The 21,244-nt window shown below is 43.6% G+C and overlaps 2 protein-coding genes and 1 pseudogene across 15 annotated transcripts in view, besides 2 other annotated features; 1 reads left to right on the forward strand and 2 right to left on the reverse strand.

The window, feature by feature from the left end:
• Window positions 1-13,145, reverse strand: part of KCTD19 (potassium channel tetramerization domain containing 19) — a 37,310-nt gene extending 24,165 nt beyond the window's left edge. The window contains exons 1-2 of the mRNA NM_001100915.3: window positions 13,109-13,145; window positions 6,993-7,289 (exon numbers count right to left, since the gene is read on the reverse strand). Of these exons, the coding sequence (NP_001094385.1) occupies window positions 6,993-7,289; window positions 13,109-13,111 (300 nt within the window). The 5' untranslated portion in view covers window positions 13,112-13,145. The remainder of the gene's footprint in view (window positions 1-6,992; window positions 7,290-13,108) is intronic.
• Window positions 8,066-8,391, reverse strand: RN7SKP118 (RN7SK pseudogene 118; annotated as a pseudogene).
• Window positions 11,277-11,356: an enhancer, noted in NCBI's record as "active region_10964". NCBI's record gives its function as "activates an Ori minimal core promoter by ATAC-STARR-seq in GM12878 lymphoblastoid cells {active_cell/tissue: GM12878}" and the evidence as "EXISTENCE:reporter gene assay evidence [ECO:0000049][PMID:35858748]".
• Window positions 13,112-13,261: a silencer, noted in NCBI's record as "silent region_7602". NCBI's record gives its function as "represses an Ori minimal core promoter by ATAC-STARR-seq in GM12878 lymphoblastoid cells {active_cell/tissue: GM12878}" and the evidence as "EXISTENCE:reporter gene assay evidence [ECO:0000049][PMID:35858748]".
• LRRC36 (leucine rich repeat containing 36) overlaps window positions 13,219-21,244 on the forward strand; it is a 58,390-nt gene continuing 50,364 nt past the window's right edge. For all 14 annotated transcript variants that reach the window (NM_018296.6, XM_005256025.3, XM_005256027.3 and 11 more), the window contains exon 1: window positions 13,219-13,336. In NM_018296.6, coding sequence (NP_060766.5) covers window positions 13,267-13,336 — 70 coding nt within the window. In that variant the 5' untranslated portion in view covers window positions 13,219-13,266. The remainder of the gene's footprint in view (window positions 13,337-21,244) is intronic.

Consider the following 21,244-nt stretch of genomic DNA (forward strand, 5'->3'; position numbering starts at 1 on the left):
TTTTTATTTGGGGATAGAGTCTTGCTCTGCTGCCCAGGCTGGAGTGCAGTGGCATGATCTTGACTCACTGCAACCTCCGCCTCCCGGGTTCAAGCAATTCTCCTGCCTTAGCCTCCTGAGTAGCTGGGATTACAGGCGCATGCCACCATGCTCAGCTAATTTTGTATTTTTAGTAGAGATGGGGTTTCACCATGTTGGTCAGGCTGGCCGCCTCAGCCTCCCAAAGTGCTGGGATTACAGGCATGAGCCACTGCACCCGGCCTTTTTTTTTTTTTTTAAAGAGAAGATCTTGCTGTGTCACCCAGGCTGGGATGCAGTGGTGAAATCTCGGCTCACTACAGCCTTGAACTCCTGGGCTCATATGATCCTCTGGCTTCAGCCTTCTGAGTAGCTGAGACTACAGGCACATGCTACCATGCCTGGATAATTTTTAAATTTTTTGTAGAGATGATGTCTCATTATGTTGCCCAGGCTGGTATCCAACTCCTGGCCTCAGGTGATCTTCCCACCTCAGCATCCCAAAGTGTTGAGATTACAGGTGTGAGCCACCGTGCCCAGCCCCTCTCTCCCTCCCTCCCTCCTCCCCTTCTTTCTTCCTTCCTTCTTCCCTTCCTTCCTTTCTTCTCTCTCTCCCTCCCTCCCTCCTTCCCCCTCTCTTCCCTTCCCTTCCTTCCTTTCTTTCTTTTCCTGAGATATATTTCACATACTATAAAACTTACCCATTTAAAGCATGCAATTCAGTGGCTTTTAATCTATTAACAGAATCAAGCAACCATCACCACAATCTACTTCAATACCCCTAAAAGAAACCCTGTACCCAATAACAGTCACTGCTCATTCTCCATTCTCACTCACCCATCCTTCCTACCCTGAGCCCCAGCCCTAGGAAGCCACTTATCTATCTTCTGTCTCTATAAATTTGCCTGTTCTGCACATTTTAGATAAATAGAATCATACAATATATGGTGCCATTTTATTTATTTATTTGTTTGTTTGTTTGTTATAGAGATGGGGCTTTGTCATGTTGCCCAGGCTGGTCTTGAACTCCTAAGCTCAAGGGATCCACCCACCTCGGCCTCCCAAAGTGCTGGGATTATAGGCATGAGCCACCGCACCCAGCTGTGTCTATCTTCTATACATATAATCATACAATAAGACTGTTTCTTTCACTTAGCTGACATGATGGTTTTTTTCACTTAGCATTATATATATATATATATATATATATATATATAGAGAGAGAGAGAGAGAGAGAGAGAGAGAGAGAGAGAGAGAGAGGGGAAGGGTCTTGCTTTGTCACCCAGGCTGGAACACAGTGGTGCAAACACAGTTCATTGCAGCCTTGACCTCCCTGGCTCAGGCGATCCTCCTGCCTTAGCCTCCCAAGTAGTTGGGACTATAGGCATGAGCCATCATGCCTAGCTAAATTTCTTTTTTAATTTTTTGTAGAGTTGGAGTCTCACTTTGTTGCCTAGGCTGGTCTCGAACTTCTGGCTTCAAGCAATCCTCCTGCCTCAGCCTCCAAGAGCTACCTATAACATTTAGAATAAATCCTGTGTCTTCACCATGGCTTTCAAGGTTCTGCAAGATCTGGCTTCCTCTGATCTCATTGTCAACCTTTGACATCTCCCTACCTCTCACTGTACTTTACAATGGCCTCCAAGTGGGCCAACGAGCCACTATAACCTCAGGGTATTAGCGTTTAACTATTCCTCTTTTTTTTTTTTTTGGGATAGTCTCACTCTGTTGCCCAGGCTGGAGTGCCGTGGCTCAATCTCAGCTCCCTGCAACCTCCACATCCTGGATTCAAGCGACACTCCTGCCTCAGCCTCCACAGCAGCTAGGATTACAGGCATGAGCCACCATGCCCAGCTAATTTTTGTGTTTTTTTGTTTGTTTTTTTGAGACAGAGTCTTGCTCTGTTGCCCAGGCTGGAGCACAGTGGCACGATCTCTGCTCACTGTAACCTCCGCCTCCCGGGTTCAAGCAATTCTTCTGCCTCAGCCTCCCAAGTAGCTGGGATTATAGGCGCACGACACCATGCCCGGCTAATTTTTATATTTTTAGTTGAGATGGGATTTCACCATGTTGTCCAGGCTGGTCTCAAACTCCCGACCTCGTGATCGCCTGCCTCGGCCTCCCAAAGTGCTGGGATTACAGGTGTGAGCCACCGTGCCTGGCTAATTTTTTTGTTTTTTAGCAGAGATGGGGTTTCTCTATGTTGGCCAGGCTGGTCTCCAACCCTGACCTCAAGTGATCCACCCACCTCGGACTCCCAAAGTGCTGGGATTATAGGTGTGAGCCACCGCGTCTGGCCTAACTATTACTAATGTCTGTAAGTTCTTTCCCCAGATACCTGCATGCCTTACCCCTTTGCCCCTTTTTCATTCAGATTTCTGCTCAAATGTTGCCTTGTCAATGAGGCCTGTTTGATCACTGTTTTCTTATTTATTTAAGTATTTATTGACAAGGTCTAGCTCTGTCACCCTGGCCGAAGTGCAGTGGTGCAAATATGGCTCACTGTGGCCTCAAACTCCTGGGCTCAAGCAATCCTCCCACCTCAGTCTCCTGAGTAGCTGGGACCACAGGCATGCACCATCATGTCTGGCTAATTAAAAAAATTTTTTTGTAGAGACAGCTTTTGCCATGTTGCCCAGGCTGGTCTTGTCCTGGGCTCAAGAATCCTCCTGCCTTGACCTCCCAAAGTGTTGTGATTGCAGGTGTGAGACACCATGCCCAGCCTCTGATCACTCAATACAGAAGTCACTTCCCTGGCTCCAGTCACTTGCTATCCCCCTTACCCTTCTTGCCACATACTATCCATCTGAATATTAAAAGACAAGCAGATTCGATGTAAATGTTTTATTCTTTCAACTAAATTCTAGTACTAGAAGGACAGTAAAACAATGATATGCTGGGGAAAATGTAGCAATATACTTTTGTTTAAAAGACTGATTGAATAAACAAAAACTACAAAAAAAAAGAAAATAATATAAACATAATCTGAAATTCCAAGAAGTCCTGGAATACAGAAATGCCCTCCTCCTTCATTATTACACAGGAAGCACTGTTTTAATTGTCTTCATAGCATTTATCTCTACCTGACATTGTATAGCTACAGGGTTCACTCCTGTATCTCCAGAACTTGGTGTAAGTTTGGTGCTTAATACACAATAAGACACTAATAAGCATCAAGTGTATCCTTTGGAGGCCACAACTACAGGCTAGAGGTGGGGGTTGGGTGGGCAGGTGGAGTTGGGGGATTTGGGGAATGGGGAGGGGTGGAGAGCAGAGCAGCAGCGTGAGCCTGGGTGCCTGTACTCCAGAAGCTTCCCATCTTGTGCTGCTTGTTGATCATTCTACATGGCTTTCCATCAAAGCCTACTATGTCACAGATAATTCTGAGTAGAATATGCATTTGTTGAGTGCATGGGAACCTTAGTTAGCAGGAGGCAAAGTCACATTTTTATTGTTAGGGGCTGAATCTGAAGGACTCTATGGTGAGGAGTACTAACAGTTTAGAGCAGTTTAGATATATGCTGCCCAATATGGTAGCCACTAGCCACGTATGGTTATTGACTACTTGAAATGTGACAGTCTGAGACCCAGCACGGTGGCTCACATCTGTAATCCCAGCAATTTGGGAGGCTGAGGGGCAGATTGCTTGAGGCCAGGAGTTTGAGACAAGCCTGGCCAACATAACAAAACCCCATCTCCACTAAAAATATAAAAATTAGCTGGGCGTGGTGCTGCACACCTGTAATCCTAGCTACTTGGGAGGCTGAGGCATGAGAAGCTCTTGAACCAGAAAACGGAGGTTGCCATGAGCCGAGATAGCACCACTGCACTCTCACCTGGGCGACAGAGTGAGACTCTGTCTCCAAAAGAAAAAAAAAAAAGAAAGAAATGTGACAGTCTGAATCTGAGATGTGCTGTAAGTATAAAACAACAGATTTTGAACACGGTACAAAGAATGTAAAATTTCTCAATTTCTAAATATTGATTACATGTTGAAATAACATTCTGAATATATTGAATAATACTTTGAATATACAGTTAATATTTTGAGTATAATAATATATTATTAAATTGATGTCATCTGTTTCTTTTTACTGTTTTAGATGTGGCTATAGAAAGTATAAAATTACATAAGTGGCTCACATACGTCGCTCACATTATATTTTTATTGGATCATCCTATGTTTTCCCCAAAGCCCACAGGAATAATGCCTGGAACCCAGAATGCTCTTCATAAATACTGGGTGAATGCATTAAGTTGGGCTGCCTGAGTAGAGTCTAAAGACTAAGAATTGGCAAACTCCAATTTCTCCAAGCAAAGTGTTTGCTCATTTAGTAAAAAAATCTGAGTATCTGATAGACCTTAGCAGTGGGAAAGTGGTGGAAATGTGTGAAGCTGTTGATTAGCTTGAGGTGACTGTTGGTTCCCAGCTGTATTTACACTCTGCTTCAAGAAATAAACACCATTTCACTTGGGCCAACTCAAATATTTATTTCTTTGACAACACCATTTTCAAAGTGTAAGCACTTGCTTTACAGTCTTTTTTTAGGGAGGCAGAGCCACATGATTCTTCAAATACTTCTACTCCTCACACAATGTGGAACTTTGGAATTGGACCAACCCATTGGCTTCTGAGGAGCAGCCCCCCATTTAGAAGCTGCTTGTGGCTGGGCGCGGTGGCTCATGCCTGTAATCCCAGCACTTTGGGAGGCCAAGGCGGGAGGATCGCTTGAGCTCAGGAGTTCAAGACTAGCCTGGCCAACATGGTGAAACCCTGTCTCTACTAAAAACACAAAAATTAGCCAGGCATGGTGGCACAAGCCTGTAATCCCACTACTTGAAGGCTGAGGAAGGAGAATTGCTTGAACTCAGGAGGTGGAGGTTGCAGTGAGCCGAGATAGCGCCACTGCACTCCAGCCTGGGACAGAGCAAGACTCTATCTCAAAAAAAAAAAAAAAAAAAAAGAAGCTGCTTCCTTGATATATTTTGTTTCAATTTGGGAAGTGAGGACAGCAAAGGGTTTAAAGGGCTTAATACACTGTAGAATAGGCTTGTATTCTTTAACATGTTCTTTAAAAATTGCCTTGATCTCTGATTTTCTGCAACAAGCAAGTTACTCCCTCCCTTCTACCTCAAAATGATGCCTTGGCGTAGAGTCATCAGCAATCCTGTCATGACAGGCCATTTAAGTGGTTTTGAAGCCACTTGTAAACAATTCTAGTACTCCATTCCTGGGGCAGTTGAAAAAAAAATTAAATTCAAGAAGGTAGCTTGAAAAAGAAAAAAAAATACAACAACTTGCCTGGTAGTATATTAAGAATTTTTAGGCCAGGTGCGGTGGCTCACGCCTATAATCCCAGCAGTTTGGGAGGCTGAGGCGGGTGGATCAACTGGGGTCAGGAGTTCGAGACCAGCCTGGCCAATATAGTGAAACCCCGTCTCTACTACAAATACAAAAATTAGCCAGGAGTGGTGGCGGGTGCTTGTAATCTCAGCTACTCAGGAGGCTGAGGCAGGAGAATCACTTGAACCTGGGAGGCGGAGGTTGCAGTGAGCCGAGATGGCGCCATTGCACTCCAGCCTGGGTAACAAGAGCGAAATTCCATCTCGAAGAAAAAAAAAAAAAAGAAAATTTCTGATTTCCAAATATAGAATGACTTTTAAGAGAAAACACTGAATTATTTAGTAAGCATCCATGAAAACATGCACTATGAAATGTTCTCATTCCTCTATGGCCCAGATACGCATGATCTATCTCAATTTTCTTCTAAAAAGTGTTGAGGCACAGTTGGTGGTACACTGAGCTACACTGCAGCTTGTTGGGTTAGTGCTGATAGAGACGGAATAAACACCTTGTACAGATGGTAGGATTAATACGGAGGATGTTCAATGGTCCTTCCCAGTTGTAATATTTAGTTCTTCCAGGTTAAAAAGAATTGTTCAAAAACTACTGAATAAACTACTTAAGATCAGCCACAAAAATGATTTCTGTGGCTTGGAGAAAAATTAGGAAAGAAAGGTAATGTTTTTAGCAGTACTTTAATGGTTTATAAGTAAAGGTATTTAAAGCTCTTATAATAATAATAATAATAATAATAATAAAGTTTCTTGGAAGACAAAGAAGTGATGGTAAAGGAAAGATTCTGCAGAACTTGTTTTTTTTTTTCTCTCTCTTGACATTTGGCCCAAGATTAGAACTTTTTGCTTTGGTGTAAATGCATGTTGTGTACCTAACAGACACAATGAGAGGTGATATTCTTGATAAATCTTTTAGATTTTAAATCTCAGACATGATGTACATAGCAAATCCTAAAATATCTAAAGTGTTCTCCTTTTAAGATTCAAAAAACAAAAAACAAGAAGTAGCTTAATATAGGATTTTCAAGAGCCAGGGGCACCCTCTCAGTGGATAGTAAATCCCATTCTGGGTCCATGGTGGCTGCTAGTCTAACTAAAGCACAGTTGGGATGAAATCATTTATTAAGAACATATAGGCGGGGTGTAGTGGCTCATGCCGGTAATCCCAGCTCTTAGGGAGGCTGAGGGAGCACTTAGGGAGGCCAATTAGAGAGGACGACTTGAGCCCAGGAGTTCAAGACCAATCTGGTCAACATGGAAAGGATTGGCCGGGCATGGTGGCATGCACCTGTGTTCCCAGCTACTCAGAGGGACTGAGGTGGGAGGTGGGAAGATCCTTTGGGCTTGGGAGGTGGAGGTTGCAGTGAGCTGTGATTGCAGCAGACACCCTGTCTCGAAAAAACAAAAGCAGGTAATTTCAGTGTATTGTTTATTACTTTTTTTTCCTTTTTACTCACCCCTATACTAATGAGGAAATTATTTATTACTTTAACACACTTATTACATTTGCCCATTAAGAGGGTCATCTCAGCAACCAATATATAACAGGAAACAATATTTAGTGATGTAAAGCCATGTTACTGATCCACCACTCCCAGAAAACAAGAGCATCTTACCTGCAGCAAAGGCATCAGCTGCAAACCCAATGCTTGCTCATACAGCAAGTTCAGTTCTGCACAACTGGAGAAGGAGAGTTTGGAGGTGTAGAGGTAATAGTGCACGTGCCTAAATGTGGAACCATCTCTGTCGATAAATAGCCTCTGGCTTTCTGAAGAGGTCAAGGCTGAAGCCTCTTTCCACAGCAGGGAGTCTGGAAACTGAGAGAGTTTGCTTCTGGGAACTGAGAAATGCCAGCCCCCTACGTTGAAATGAAACAAGTCCTCTGCTGATTCATGAGCCATGCCAGACTCCTCCTAAAGGGGGAATGAAAAAGAGATCTACGCAAGAAAAAGAAATAAAAAGGCATCCAGATTGAAAAGGTAGAAATAAACTATCTCTGTTTGCTGATGACATGATCTTGTATATAAAAAATCCTAAGGAATTCACCAGAAAACTATTAGAAATAAGTCCAGGCCAGGCATGGTGGTTCACACCTGTAATCCAAGCACTTTGGGAGCCTGAGGTGGGAAGGTGGCTTGAGACCAGGAGTTTGAGGTTGCAGTGAGCTATGATTGTGCCACTGTACTCTGGCCTAACAGAGCAAGATCCTGTCTCAAAAAAGAAAAACAAACAAAAAAATGAGCCCAACAAGGTTGAAAGATGCAGAGCAATATTTAAAAATGTTGTATTTTTATACTTCAGCAATGAACAATCTGAAAGTGAAATTAAGAAAACAATTCAATTCCATTTACAATAGCATCAAAAATAACATACTTAGGAATAAATTTAACAAAAGAATGAAATACATGTGCACTGGAAACTTCAAAACATTGTTGAAAATTTAAAAGACCTAAATAAATGAAAAAATATCTCATGCTCATGGATTGGAAGATTTAATATCGTTAAGATGGCAATAGTCTCCCAATTGATTTACAAATTCAACACAATCTCTGTGAAAATCCTGACTTTTTGCAAAAATTGAAAAACTGATGCTAAAATTCATATGAAAATACAAGGGATCCAGAATAGCTAAAACAGTCTTGAAAAAAGGAGAACGTTTAAGAAGTCACATTTCCCACTTTTTTTTTTTAAAGGCAGACTGCCACATGCAGCGCCTCATTAGGATGTGTCTGAAGTCTTGGAAGCTTGACTACCCTACGTTCTCCTACAACGGATCTTAAGAACTTGTTTGGAGGTTCTAGCTAGGAAGAGCAGATACTTGTATACCCTTGACTGAAGACTGGTCCTCCTTTATTGGGGATGGTCGTCCTCTTTGACTGAGCACGCAGCTTCAGGAGGGACGCACGTGGAGCGTTGAGGGAAGAAGGGGACACCCGCCTAGACAGCCAGATCAGCCAAATCAACCCTGGCAATCAATGGAGTGACAGATGTCACAGCCAGATCACCCTCACATCCCACACTTTTAAAACTTATTTCAAAGCTAGATCAAGACAGTGTGCTACCAGCATAAGGATAAATATAAAGATAAGTGGAATAGAATTGAGAGTACAGAATAAAACCCCTACACTTATGATCAATTGAATTTTGATAAGCAATCCAAGATGATTCAATGGACAAAGAATAGTCCTTATTAAAAATGGTGCTGGGACAACTGCCCATCCATATGCATAAAAGATAATAATAACAATAATAATAAAGTTGGACCCCTACCTCAACCCATACACAAAAATTAGCTGCAAGTGAAACAGACCTAAAACTATAAAATCTTTTTTTTTTTTTTTTTGAGACGGAGTCTCGCTGTATCACCCAGCCTGGAGTGTAGTGGTAACAATCTCGGCTCACTGCAAACTCCACCTCCCGGGTTCACTCCATTCTCCTGCCTCAGCCTCCTGAGTAGCTGGGACTACAGGCACCCGCCACCACGCCCGGCTAATTTTTTGTATTTTTAGTAGAGATGGGGTTTTACTGTGTTAGCCAGCATGGTCTCGATCTCCTGACCTCGTGATCCACCTGCTTTGGCCTCCCAAAGTGCTGGGATTACAGGCGTGAGCCACTGCACCCAGCCTAAAACCATAAAATCTTTAGAAGAAAATAGAAAATCTTCATGACTTTGGAGTAGGCAAAACTTTCTTAGATGTGACACTAAAAGCAAAAGTGACCAAAAAAATAGATAAATGGAACTTAATCAAAATTTAAAAACATTTGTGCTTTAGAGGGCACCATCAAGAAGGTGAAAAGATAACTCACAGAATGGAACAAAATATTTGCAAATCATTTGTCTGATAAAGAACTTGTTTTTAGAATATATAAAGAACTCTTAAACTCAATAACAAAAAGACAACCAAATTTAAAAATTGGCAAAGCATCTAAATAGACATCTCTCCAAAGAATATATACAAATGACCAACAGAACGAAAAAAGATGCTCAACATCCTTAGTCATCAGAGAAATGCAAATCAAAACCCACAACAGAATACTACTTCACACCCATTAGTATGGCTACAATGAAAACAATAGGTAATAACAAGTGTCGACAAAGAAACCAGAACCCCCATGCACTGCTGGTGGAGGTGTAAAATGGTGCAGGCACTTTGGAAAACAGTTTGGTGGGTCCTGAAAATGTAAAGCATGGAGTTATTCTACTATGAGCCAGCAATTCCACTCCTAGGTGTACACTTAAGACAAATAAAGACATATGTCCACACCAAAATTTCTAGACTAATGTTCATAGAACATAATAGCCAAAAGGTTGGAATAAACCTAATGTCCATCAACTGACAGATGAGTAAACAAAATGTAGTATATCCACACAATGGAATATTGTTTGTCAATACGAAGGAATGGGATGAACATGGTGGCTTGTGCTTGTAATCCCAGCACTTTGGAAGGCTGAGGCAGGAGATTCACTTGAGCCCAGGAGTTTGAGGCTGCAGTGAGCTGTGATCGTGCCATTGCACTCCAGCCTGGGCGTCAGAGTGAGGCACGTCTCTAAAAAAATAAAAAATAAAAAGGAATGAAGTACTGATACATGATAACAACATGGATGAAATTCGAAACATTATGCCAAGGGAAAGAAGCCAAACAAAAAATCACATATGATTCCATCCACATGCAATGTGTGGACAAGGCAAATTTCTAGAGATAGAAAATAGATTAGTGGTTGCCTAGGGCTGGAGAGGCTATGGGGAGATGGGGTGTGACTACTAATGAGTATGGGATTTCTTTTGGGGATGGTGAAAATGTTCTAAAATTGATTGTGATGATAGTTGCACAACTCTGAACATACTAAAACTCACTGAATTGTACACATTAAAATGTGTGAATTGTATGGTATGTGAATTATATCTCAATAGATCTACAAAAAAAAAAAAAGATGAGGTACTGTCCATTCCATGGAGCGCATGCAGAACTCTCTTGGGATCTTACCTGCAGAGACATTACATTACTGGAGGATGAATGCTATAGATACCTTTTCATATATACAAAGGCAGCAAAGATCACTAACCTTCCTCAGCTCATTGTTAAAAGTTTAAGGTCATCTGTATATCTGTTGGACAAGAGGTTGTTGAAAAAAAAGTTTAAGGTCATCTGTACATCTGTTGGACAAGAGGTTGTTGAAAAAAAAGTTTAAGGTCATCTATTTATAAGTGAATTGTCTTCTTTGTTTCAAGATGACCTAGTTTATCAATACGATGGAAAAGTAGAGAGCCATCAAACATACAAACCATCCATATCAAATTTTAAAATAAAGGGCACTACCCTTGTAAAAATATTTTTTAAAGGGTAGTAAATAGTATATAGAATTTTACCTAAAAAGAACCATAAAACAATATCGAATTCTAATTAAAAATTATGCAGGCTGAAGTGATTGGACTGCAATGTACTGATATCTGCAATTTATTTTGAGATGAATTTAAAAAAGACAGATTGATGGACAGATAGGATTGCTAGATGGACATGTGATAAAACAAATATGAGCAAAATGTTGATTGTAGAATGCAGGTGGTGGATATATGGTGCTCACTGTACAATTCTTTCAATCTTTCTGTGTTTATAAAATTGCATTAAGACGTTCGTGGGGGAAAAACAGTGTTAAAGTAAGAGGTGATTACTTAAGAAAGGAAAAGCTCCCTGCTCCAGAAAGAACCTGCATTTCCCATTCTGACAGCTGAGGAAGGAAAATAAATGCATGCAAGAAAGAATGGGATGGGGTCCATCTCTCCCACAGCAATATTCAGACATAAAGAAGAGCAATTATATATGCCACATTTGAGACTAGAAGAGTTAAAGGGGGTAATAAGAGAAATATGACAAATTGTGAAATGATTGCATAACTGACAGAAGCAGAGCCAGAAAAGTCAATCTAATGAGCTAACCTAGAATTCTAAGTCCCAGCCCTTCTAAAAGCCTTTCTACAAGTTCATGTTCAGGCAAAGGCTGAATGTAACAAATGGAGTGACTAAGGGTCTCACATAGACCAGAAAGCATAAATATGCAAGGAAGGACCCTTGATTCTGCTTTCTGTTCTCCTTAAAGGTGGCTGAGAGCTCAATGGGGGTGCTCAGAGTGTGCAGATGTTGGATGCCAAAGAAAACCTACTTCTCGAAGGTGAGCCCCAGTTCTGGTCTCAGTTCCTCTTTTCTTTCTTTCTTTTTTTTCTTTTTTTCTTTTTTTCTTTTTTTTTTTTTTTGAGACGGAGTCTCGCTCTCTAGCCCAGGCTGGAGTGCAGTGGCACGATTTTGGCTCACTGCAAGCTCCACCTCCCGGGTTTACGCCATTCTCCTGCCTCAGCCTCCAGCCTCCTCAAGTAGCTGGGACTACAGGCGCCCGCCACCACGCCCGGCTTTATTTTATTTTATTTTATTTTATTTTGTTTTATTTTTGTATTTTTAGTAGAGATGGGGTTTCACTGTGTTAGCCAGGATGGTCTCGATCTCCTGACCTCGTGATCCACATGCTTCGGCCTCCCAAAGTGCTGGGATTACAGACGTGAGCCACCACGCCCAGCCCACCCTCTTTTCTTGTTAAGGATAGGGTGTGACAAGAGGGTCCTGGCTCCTTCTTACATACATGTCCCATCCACAGGTGGGCTCTTAAGTGCCTGCTGGAGTGAGGGTAGGGGTTAGGGATGCGGCTGTTCTTTCCCAAAGACTACTCAGGGGCTGGTTAGTGCAGAGCTATCGCAGCCTGGCGACAGCCCTCAGTCACAGGCAAGCTTAGGGGAACCTGTGGTGCTTGAAAGACAAAAGGCTTCTTGCCGGACTGACTTCAGGAAACGGGGTAGCCCTAAAGCAGTCATCCCCACCCCATTACAAAGAGCTTCTCTCTTTCCCACGCTGATCCTTCTCCCCCGAAGAAGCTCCGTCCAAGTAAATTTCTTACCTTTTTTTTTTTTTTTTTTTTGAGACAAGGTCTGGCTCTGTCACTCAGGTCGCCCAGGCTGGAGTGCAGTGGTGCAATCTCGGTTCACTGCAACCTCCACCTCCCGGGTTCAAGCGATTCTCCTGCCTCAGCCTCCCGAGTAGCTGGGACTACAGGCCGTGCCACCACACCCGGCTAATTTTTGTATTTTTAGTAGAGATGGGGTTTCACCATGTTGGCCAGGCTGGTCTTGAACTCTTGACCTCAGGTGATCCGCCCACCTCGGGCTCCCAAAGTGCTGGGATTACAGGCGTGAGACACCGCGCCCAGCCCGTCCAAGTCAATTTCTAGAGCTAGAACTTCCTCATGCTCTAAAGACAGGACCCCAACTCCTCAGAGCCAGGATTCCCAACCTTTCAGATCTGGAGCTCCCCATCATGCCTTAGAGTTCTGTCCCCACGCTCCAATCCTTCAGATTTGGATCTCCCCTTCACACACACCCTCGCCTTGCCCCAAAGTCAGCATCCCCCAGCGCTGAGATATGAAGACCACCCCGTCAAAGGGGCACACGCCCAGCCCTCAGAACCGGAGTCCCCCACATCCTCAGAGCCAGAACACTTCATCCCTCAAGACAGAGCGTTATTCTAACTCCTCAGAGCCAGCCCCCCAAATCCTTCCCGGCTGGGGGCCCCTCGCTCTCTCCCATGCCCCAGAGCCAGGTCTCGAACCACTTAGCCCCAATCCTTGGCCACAGCGGCCCCCATTCGCCGCTTTGGTGCTTTTGGCGCCCCCGCCAGAGCGGGCTCCGTACCATGGTCGCGGCTCCAGCAGCGGGCGGGCGGGCTTGTGACCCGGCCAATAACGGTTCCCGGGGTCGCGGCGGCGCGCGCGCGGGGGGCGGGGCAGTGGGCGGGGCCTGGCGTGCGCCGGGTGGTCTCGCGGGCGGTGGCAGGTGAGCGGCGGGCGGGGATGGCGGAGCAATGGGAGCTGGACGAGGAAGGCATTCGCCGCCTGGGGGCGCTGACGCTGGAGCAGCCGGGTAGGGTCTGGCCGGGAGGGTGTGGACTGGGAACGTAGGGTCAGAAGCTGTGGAAAGAAAACTGAAGTGGAAGGCGGGGAACCTGAGATAGAGGCGAGGGAACCACAGAGAAGCGGTACCTGAGGCTGGGGGGCGGGGGGATAACTTGAGGCAGAAGGTTAGAGGGAGGTGGAGGTGGAGGAACTGAAGTAACGGGAGGGTGTGGGGCAGAGCCCGAGGAATTGAGAGAGAAGAGGGGAGTGTGAAGTAGGGAAGGAGAAACAAGGTTAACAGGGGACCCTGCCGCAGGTGACAGAACTGCGGGGGGCGGTGGCTGACCGCTGTAATCCCAGCACTTTGGGAGGCGGAGGCGGGTGGATCACCTGAGCGTGGCCAACATGGTGAAACCCCGTCTCTACTAAAATACAAAAATTAGCCCGGCGTGGTGGTTCAAGTCTATAATCCCAGCTACTCGGGAGGCTGAGGCAGGAGAATCGCTTGAACCCGGGAGGCGGAGGTTGCAGTTAGCCGAGATCGCACCACTGCACTGCAGCCTGGGCGACAGAGCGAGACTCCATCTCAAAAATAATAATAATAAATAAAATAAATAAATAATAAAATGTCTATTAGACATCCAAGTGTAAGGTACCTAGTAGGCAGTTGGATATATGGGTCTGGACCTCAGAGGAGAGGTCAGGGTTAGAGATGAAAATTTTGGAGACATTAGCAATAGGTGGTATTTAAAGCTACGGGAGTGGATGAACTCAGCTAAGGAGAGAATGTCGATGGAGAAGTGAAAGAAAGCTTAAGACTCAACCTTGGAATATTTCAGTGTTTAGAGGTTGTATAGAGGAAGAATGTGGTATCTTGGAATTTGAGAAGGGGTAGTGTATCGAGCAAGCAATGGCCAACTGTGCCAAATGCTATTGACAGGCTGAGCAACTTAAATGCAGAGTGTCTGTTAGATTTAGCAACATGGAACTTACTGGTGACCTTGACAGAGGGAGTTTTGGGAGGGTGGGGAGGAGGGAAACCAGATTGGAGTGGGATGAAAAAGGGAAATGATATTTGAGGGGAAGAGACAGTGAAAGTAAGAACTTTTGCTGAAAATTTTAGCTGTAAAAGAGACTGCAGAAATAGATGGTAGCTGAAGCGTATGATGTGCAGTCAAGAACAGAACAGGAAGGATATACTAGAGCATGTCGGTAGTCTAATGATTAATTTGGTAGAGGGGGGAAATATGTAATATTTACTCATTTTGACTGTTAAAATAATTCAATTAATTTATTCTGTGGGTAATATAATAATTGTACAGTGAGGGCCAGGCGCGGTGGCTCACGACTGTAATCCCAGCACTCTGGGAGGCCGAGGCGGGCGGATCACGAGTCAGGAGATCGAGACCATCCTGGCTAACACAGTGAAACCCCGTCTCTACTAAAAATACAAAAAAAATTAGCGGAGCATGGTGGCGGGCGCCTGTAGTCCCAGCTACTCGGGAGGCTGAGGCAGGAGAATGGCGTGAACCCAGGAGGCGGAGCTTGCAGTGAGCCGAGATCGCGCCACTGCACTCCAGCCTGGGTGACAGAGTGAGACTCCGTCTCGAAAAAATAAATAAATAAAATAAAAATTGTACAGTGAGAAGAAAGTCTTTACTCCCCCATCCCCGTCTCATAGGCCTAGTTCCCCTTCCTAAAGGCAATTACTGTTACCAGTATCTTGGATAGTTTTCCAGAAATATTCTCTACATATATAAGCATTTATCACTTATTTTATAATTTTATATTATGGCAATTTTCAAATATATACAAGAGTAGAGATAACAGAATAATGAACTCTATTAGCCTACCTCAACAGTTATCATCAATTCATGGCCAAGCTTCTTTCACGTATACCTCACCTATCCTCCACCCACCTCCAACCCCCTACACTGACTATTTTGAAGCAAATTCCAAGTATGTGATTTCCTCCATAAATATTTCAGTAGTATTTTATTTATTTATTGTTTTTATTATTTTTCAGATAGAGTTTTGCTCTGTCACCCAGGCTCTAGGGCAGTGGCGTGATCTCGGCTCACTGTAATCTCCACCTCCGCATTTCAAGCGATTCTTCTGCCTCAGCCTCCCAAGTAGCTGGGACTACAGGCACCCGCCACCACGCCCGGCTAATTTTGTATTTTCAGTAGTGACAGGGTTTTGCCATGTTGGCCAAGCTGGTCTTGAACTCCTGACCTCAAGTGATCCACCCACCTCAGCCTCCCTAAGAGTTGGGATTATAAGTGCAAGCCACAGCACCTGGCCAGTATGTATTTTTAAAAGCTAAGATTACTTTAAAAAAAAGTCACATATGCAACCTAAAAAATTTAACAGTAATTTCTTTTTTTGGTTTTGTTTTGTTTTTGAGATGGAGTCTGGCTCTGTTGCCCAGGCTGGAGTGCAGTGGCATGATCTCAGCTCACTGCAACCTCTGCCTCCAGGGTTCAAGCAATTCTCCTGCCTCAGCTTCCTGAGTAGCTGGGATTTCAGGCATGTGCCACCATGCCTGGCTAATTTTTTTGTATTTTTAGTAGAGACGGGGTTTCACCATGCTAGCCAGGCTAGTCTTGAACTCCTGACCTCAAGTGACTCAGCCTCCTAAAGTGAACAGTGATTTCTTGATATCATGAAATATCTAACTAGTGTTCTTATTTCCCCAGTTGTCCTATAATTTTTTAAAATTAGAATCCATGGCCGGGTGCGTTGGCTCATGCCTGTAATCCCAGCACTTTGGGAGGCCAAGGTGGGTGGATCACTTGAGGCCAGGAGTTCAAGACCAGCCAGGCCAACATGGTGAAACCCCATCTCTATTAAAAATACAAAAATTAGCTGGACATGGTGGCTCACACCTGTAATCCCAACTACTTGGGAGGCTGAGGCAGGAGAATCGCTTGAACCCGGGAGACGGAGGTTGTAGTGAGCTGAGATCGCGTCACTGCACTCCAGCTTGGGTGGCAGAGCAAGTCTCCATCTAAAAAATAAAATAAAATAAGAATCCGTATATGGTCCATATATTGCAATTGGTTGATGTATGTCTTAAGTCTTATTTGATCTGTAGGCTCCCCATTTTTTTTCCCTCGCATTTTCAATTGTTTTTGAAGAAACTGGCTTTGAAAGAGTTTACTATAACCTGAACTTTGCTCATTGCATTCCTAAGATGTTAAACATTTTCCCGTGTTCCCTGTACTTCCTATGAATTGGTAGTTAGATGAGGCTTAATCAGATTCAGGTTGGATTTTTTTTTTTTCACAAGACGATTTCATAGGTAATGGTGTATGTTTATGTTAGGAAGTATATGGTGCCTAGTGTTCTTTCTTTTCGTGATATCAGCCACTGAATATGATTACCTAAGTTAATTCATTAGGGATTGCAAAATGGTAATTGTCTATTTCTTTCATTTTTCTTCATTAACTGTAATACTTCTATAAAGAGAAATTTCCTCACATCAACTGTTTGCTTATCCTGAGGTACAGTTTGTATAGGAAAGGCAGCATAAAAGCTTGATTTGTTTTCACCTTATATGCCAGCTTTCAGAATGATGAGTTATTTTCTTAGCATTCTCCAAAGGTGACCAGTGAGGACTGTTTTGCTTTCTCAGTATCATTATAAACTCATCGATTTAAATATATGTCTTAGGGCTGGGCATGGTCGTTCACGCCTGTAATCCCAGCATTTTGGGAGGCCAAGGAGGATGGATCACCTGAGGTCAGGAGTTCAAGACCAGTCTGTCCAACATGGTGAAACCTCATCTGTACTAAAAATACAAAAAAAATTAGCCCGGCATGGTGGCAGGTGCCTATAATCCCAGCTACTCAGGAGGCTGAGGCAGGAGAATCACTTGAGCCTGGGAAGCAGAGGTTGCAGTGAACTGAGATCGCACCACTGCACTTCAGCCTGGACGAAAGACTGAGACTCAGTCTAAATAAATAAATAAATAAATAAATGTCTTAGTCCCTTTTCTCTTGTCATAACAGAATACCATAGACTAGGTAATTTATAAAGAACAGAAGTTGATTTGGCTCATGGTTCTGGAGGCTGAGAAGTCCAAGAGCATGGTGCCAACATCTGGTGAGGGTCATTCCATGGTGGAAGGGCAGAAGGTGCATGTGTGAGATGTGAGAGAGAAAGAGAGAGAGAGAGAGAGAGAGAGAGAGAGAGAGAGAGAGAGAGAAGACTGAACTAATTCCTTTATTAGGATAGCTAACTCCCGTGATAACTAACTCCATGATAACAGCATGAAGCCACCGTTGACCTAATCACCTCTTAGAGGCCCCACCTCGCAGTGCTGTTACATTGGCAATTACGTTTCAACATGAAAGCTGGGCATGGCGGCTTACACACTTTGGAAGGCCAGGGAGGAGGATGAGGCCAGGTATTTGAGACCAGCCTGGGCAACACAGCAAGATCCTGTCTCTACAAAAAATTTAAAAATTAACTGGGTGTTGGTGGTGTGTACCTGTAGTCCCAGCTACTCAGGAGGCTGAAGTGGAAGGATCCTCTGACCCCAGGAGTTTTAGGCTGCAGTGCACTATGATAGTGCTACTGCCCTCCAGCCTAGTTGACAGAGCAAGGCCCTATCTCTGAATAAATTAATACATTTCATCATGAGTTTTGGAGGGGACGTTCAAACCATAGCAATATATTTCAATGTAAGTTTTAATCCATTATAGTTCTTATCATAATTGATGTTCAGTTTATCCTAACTTTAGTTAATAGGTGATCTTTCAAGTTGACTCCTGAGGTCTTTTTAAAAAAGTTTTATGGCCAGGTGTAGTGGCTCACGCCTGTAATCCCAGCACTTTGGGAAGCCGAGGGGGGTGGATCACCTGAGGTTGGGAGTTTGAGACCAGCCTGGCCAGCATGTTGAAACCCCATCTCTACTAAAAATATAAAAATTAGCTGGGCGGGGTGGCACATGCCTGTAATCCCAGCTACTTGGGAGGCTGAGGCAGGAGAATCGCTTGAACCCTGAAGGCGGAGGTTGCAGTAAGCCAAGATCACACCATTGCACTCCAGCCTGGGCAAAGAGAGCGAAACTCCATCTCAAAAAAAAAAAGAAAAAGAAAAAGTTTTATTTATTAGAAACATTCATTGTCATTATAAATAAGCTTTGTTAAAGGTTGTTAATTCAATTTCCAAATGAGCTGTAAATGGTTTTCATTAGAGAGACTACTTGATTTGTTATTTTCAAATAGCAAATTTTTGCCCACTGGGGTTATGTAACCCATATATTAAAATTGGAAGATCATTCTTTTATTCTTGGCATCTATGCTGTGCAGTGTTTGATTTGTTCTCTGATTTGTCTTCACTCTTTATAAACACTGAAACGGCCAGGCGCGGTGGCTTACGCCTGTAATCCCAGCACTTTGGGAGGCTGAGGAGGGCGAATCACGAGGTCAGGAGATCGAGACAACCCTGGCTAACATGATGAAACCCTGTCTCTACTAAAAATACAAAAAAATTAGCTGGGCATGGTGGTGGGCGCCTGTAGTCCTAGCTACTTGGGAGGCTGAGACAGGAGAATGGCGTGAACCTGGGAGGCAGAGCTTGCAGTGTGCCAAGATGGTGCCATTGCACTCCAGCCTGGGTGACAGAGCGAGACTCCGTCTCAAAAAAAAATAATAAATAAATAAATAAACACTGAAACGAAATGCATAACCTCTTAAGACATGCATTCATGTGAATCATTAAAGAATGTTTGTCTTTGTGGCAGTTTATCATTTTAATAATTCACATTCCTTCTTAAAATGTTAAAATGTCTGCTCTTCAAAATAGACTGCAGTGAAAGGCATGAGAAATGCTGTGGGTCATTGATGGAAACCATAATTGTCCTTAGCTTTTGTCCCATGTTAACAGACTCTCAGGGTGTTAGATCATAACATACCACAGAATTACCAATACACTGCCCTCAAAGTCAGGAAAATTTTATTTATTTATTTATTTTATTTATTTATTTTTTTTTAAAAAAAACATGGTCTTATTCTGTTGCCCAAGCTGGAGTGCAGTGGCATGATCATGGCTCACTGCAGTCCCGACCTCCTGGGCTCAAGCAATCCTCCTGACTCTGCCTACTGAGTAGCTGGGACTACAGGTGTGCACCACCATGCCCAGCTAATTTTTTCTTTTTTTGTAGAGATGGGTGCATTTTAAAAAGATATAATTCACATACTATAAAGTTCACCGTTTTAGTATTTATTTATTTATTTTGAGATAAGAATCTTGCCCTATTGCCCAGGCTGCAGTGCAGTGGCCCGACCTCAGCTCACTGCAACCTCTATCCCAGGTTCAAGTGATTCTCCTGCCTCAGCATCCTGAGTAGGTGGGACTGCAGGCACGTCCCACCATACCCTGCTAATTTTTGTGTTTTTAGTAGAGACAGGGTTTCACCATGTTGGCCAGGCTGGTCTTGAACTCCTGACTTCAAGTGATCCACCTGCCTCCGCCTCCCAAAGTGCTGAAATTACAGGCATGAGCCACCACACGTAGCCCCATTTAAAAAATATACAATTCAGGGTCATTTTGTACATTTACAATGTTGTGCAAGCATCATTGCTACCTATATATAGTTCCAGAACATTTTCATCAACCCATTAGGCAGTCACACCTCATTTCCCACTACCCCTGGCTCCTGGCAACCAGTAAACTGCTTTCTGTCTCTGTGGATTTGCCTCTTCTGGGTATTTCATATCATTGGAATCATATAATATGTAGCCTTTTCTGTCTGGCTTCTTTGACTTAGCATAGTATTTTCATTATTCATTCATGTTTTAGCATGTATTAATACTTCATTCCTTTTTTAAAAAAATTAATAGACTTTATTTTTTAGAGCAGTTTTAGGTTTACAGAGAAATTGGGCATAAAGTACAGAGAGTTCTCATATACGCTTACCTTCCTTGCACCTCTCCCCACCCACCCCGTTTCCCTTAATTTTAATATCTTGCATTATTGTGATATATTACAATTTATGAACCAATATTGATGCGATTATTAACTAAAGTCCATAGTTTACATTAGAGCTCATTTTTTGTGTTGTACAGTTCTATGGTTTTTGACAATTATGTCGTGTCCACCATTATTATTATTATTTTTATTTATTTATTTTTTTGAGATGGAGTCTCACTCTGTTGCCCAGGCTGGAGTGCAGTGGCGTGGATCTCGGCTCACCGCAAGCTCTGTCTCCCAGATTCACACCATTCTCCTGCCTCAGCCTCCCGAGTAGCTGGGACTACAGGTGCCTGCCACTGTGCCCGGCTAATTTTTCATATTTTTAGTAGAGACCGGGTTTCACCATGGTCTCGATCTCCTGACCTCGTGATCCGCCCGCCTCGGCTTCCCAAAGTGCTGGGATTACAGGCGTGAGCCACCGCGCCTGGCCGTCCACCATTATTTTTTATTTTTTGAGGCAGAGTCTTGTTCTGTTGCCCAGGCTGGAATGCAGTGGCACGATCTCGGCTCACAGCAACCTCCGCCTCCTGGGTTCAAGTGATTCTCATGCCTCAGCCTCCCAAGTAGCTGGGACTGCAGGCGTGTGCCACCATGCCTGGCTGATTTTTGTATTTTTAGTAGAGACGGGGTTTCACCATGTTGGCCAGGCTGGTCTCGAACTCCCAACCTCAGGTGATCTGCCTGCCCCAACCTCCCAAAGTGCTGGGATTACAGGCATGAGCCAGCGTGCCTGGCCAGTCGTGTCCACCATTATAATAACAGTTTTACTAACCTAAAAATCCCCTGTGCCCCACCATCTGTTTATCCCTCCCTCACCCCAAACCCCTGACAACTATCAGGTGAAATTCACCCCCGATATTTCACGTAGGCTCTTTTCTATTTTCCCTAAGTGTCGGCCGGCCTGAGAAATAAAGGGACAGAGTACAAAAGAGAGAAATTTTAAAGCTGGGTG

Source organism: Homo sapiens, chromosome 16 (genome assembly GCF_000001405.40).
Source record: "Homo sapiens chromosome 16, GRCh38.p14 Primary Assembly".
Classification (NCBI taxonomy): Eukaryota; Metazoa; Chordata; class Mammalia; order Primates; family Hominidae; genus Homo; species Homo sapiens.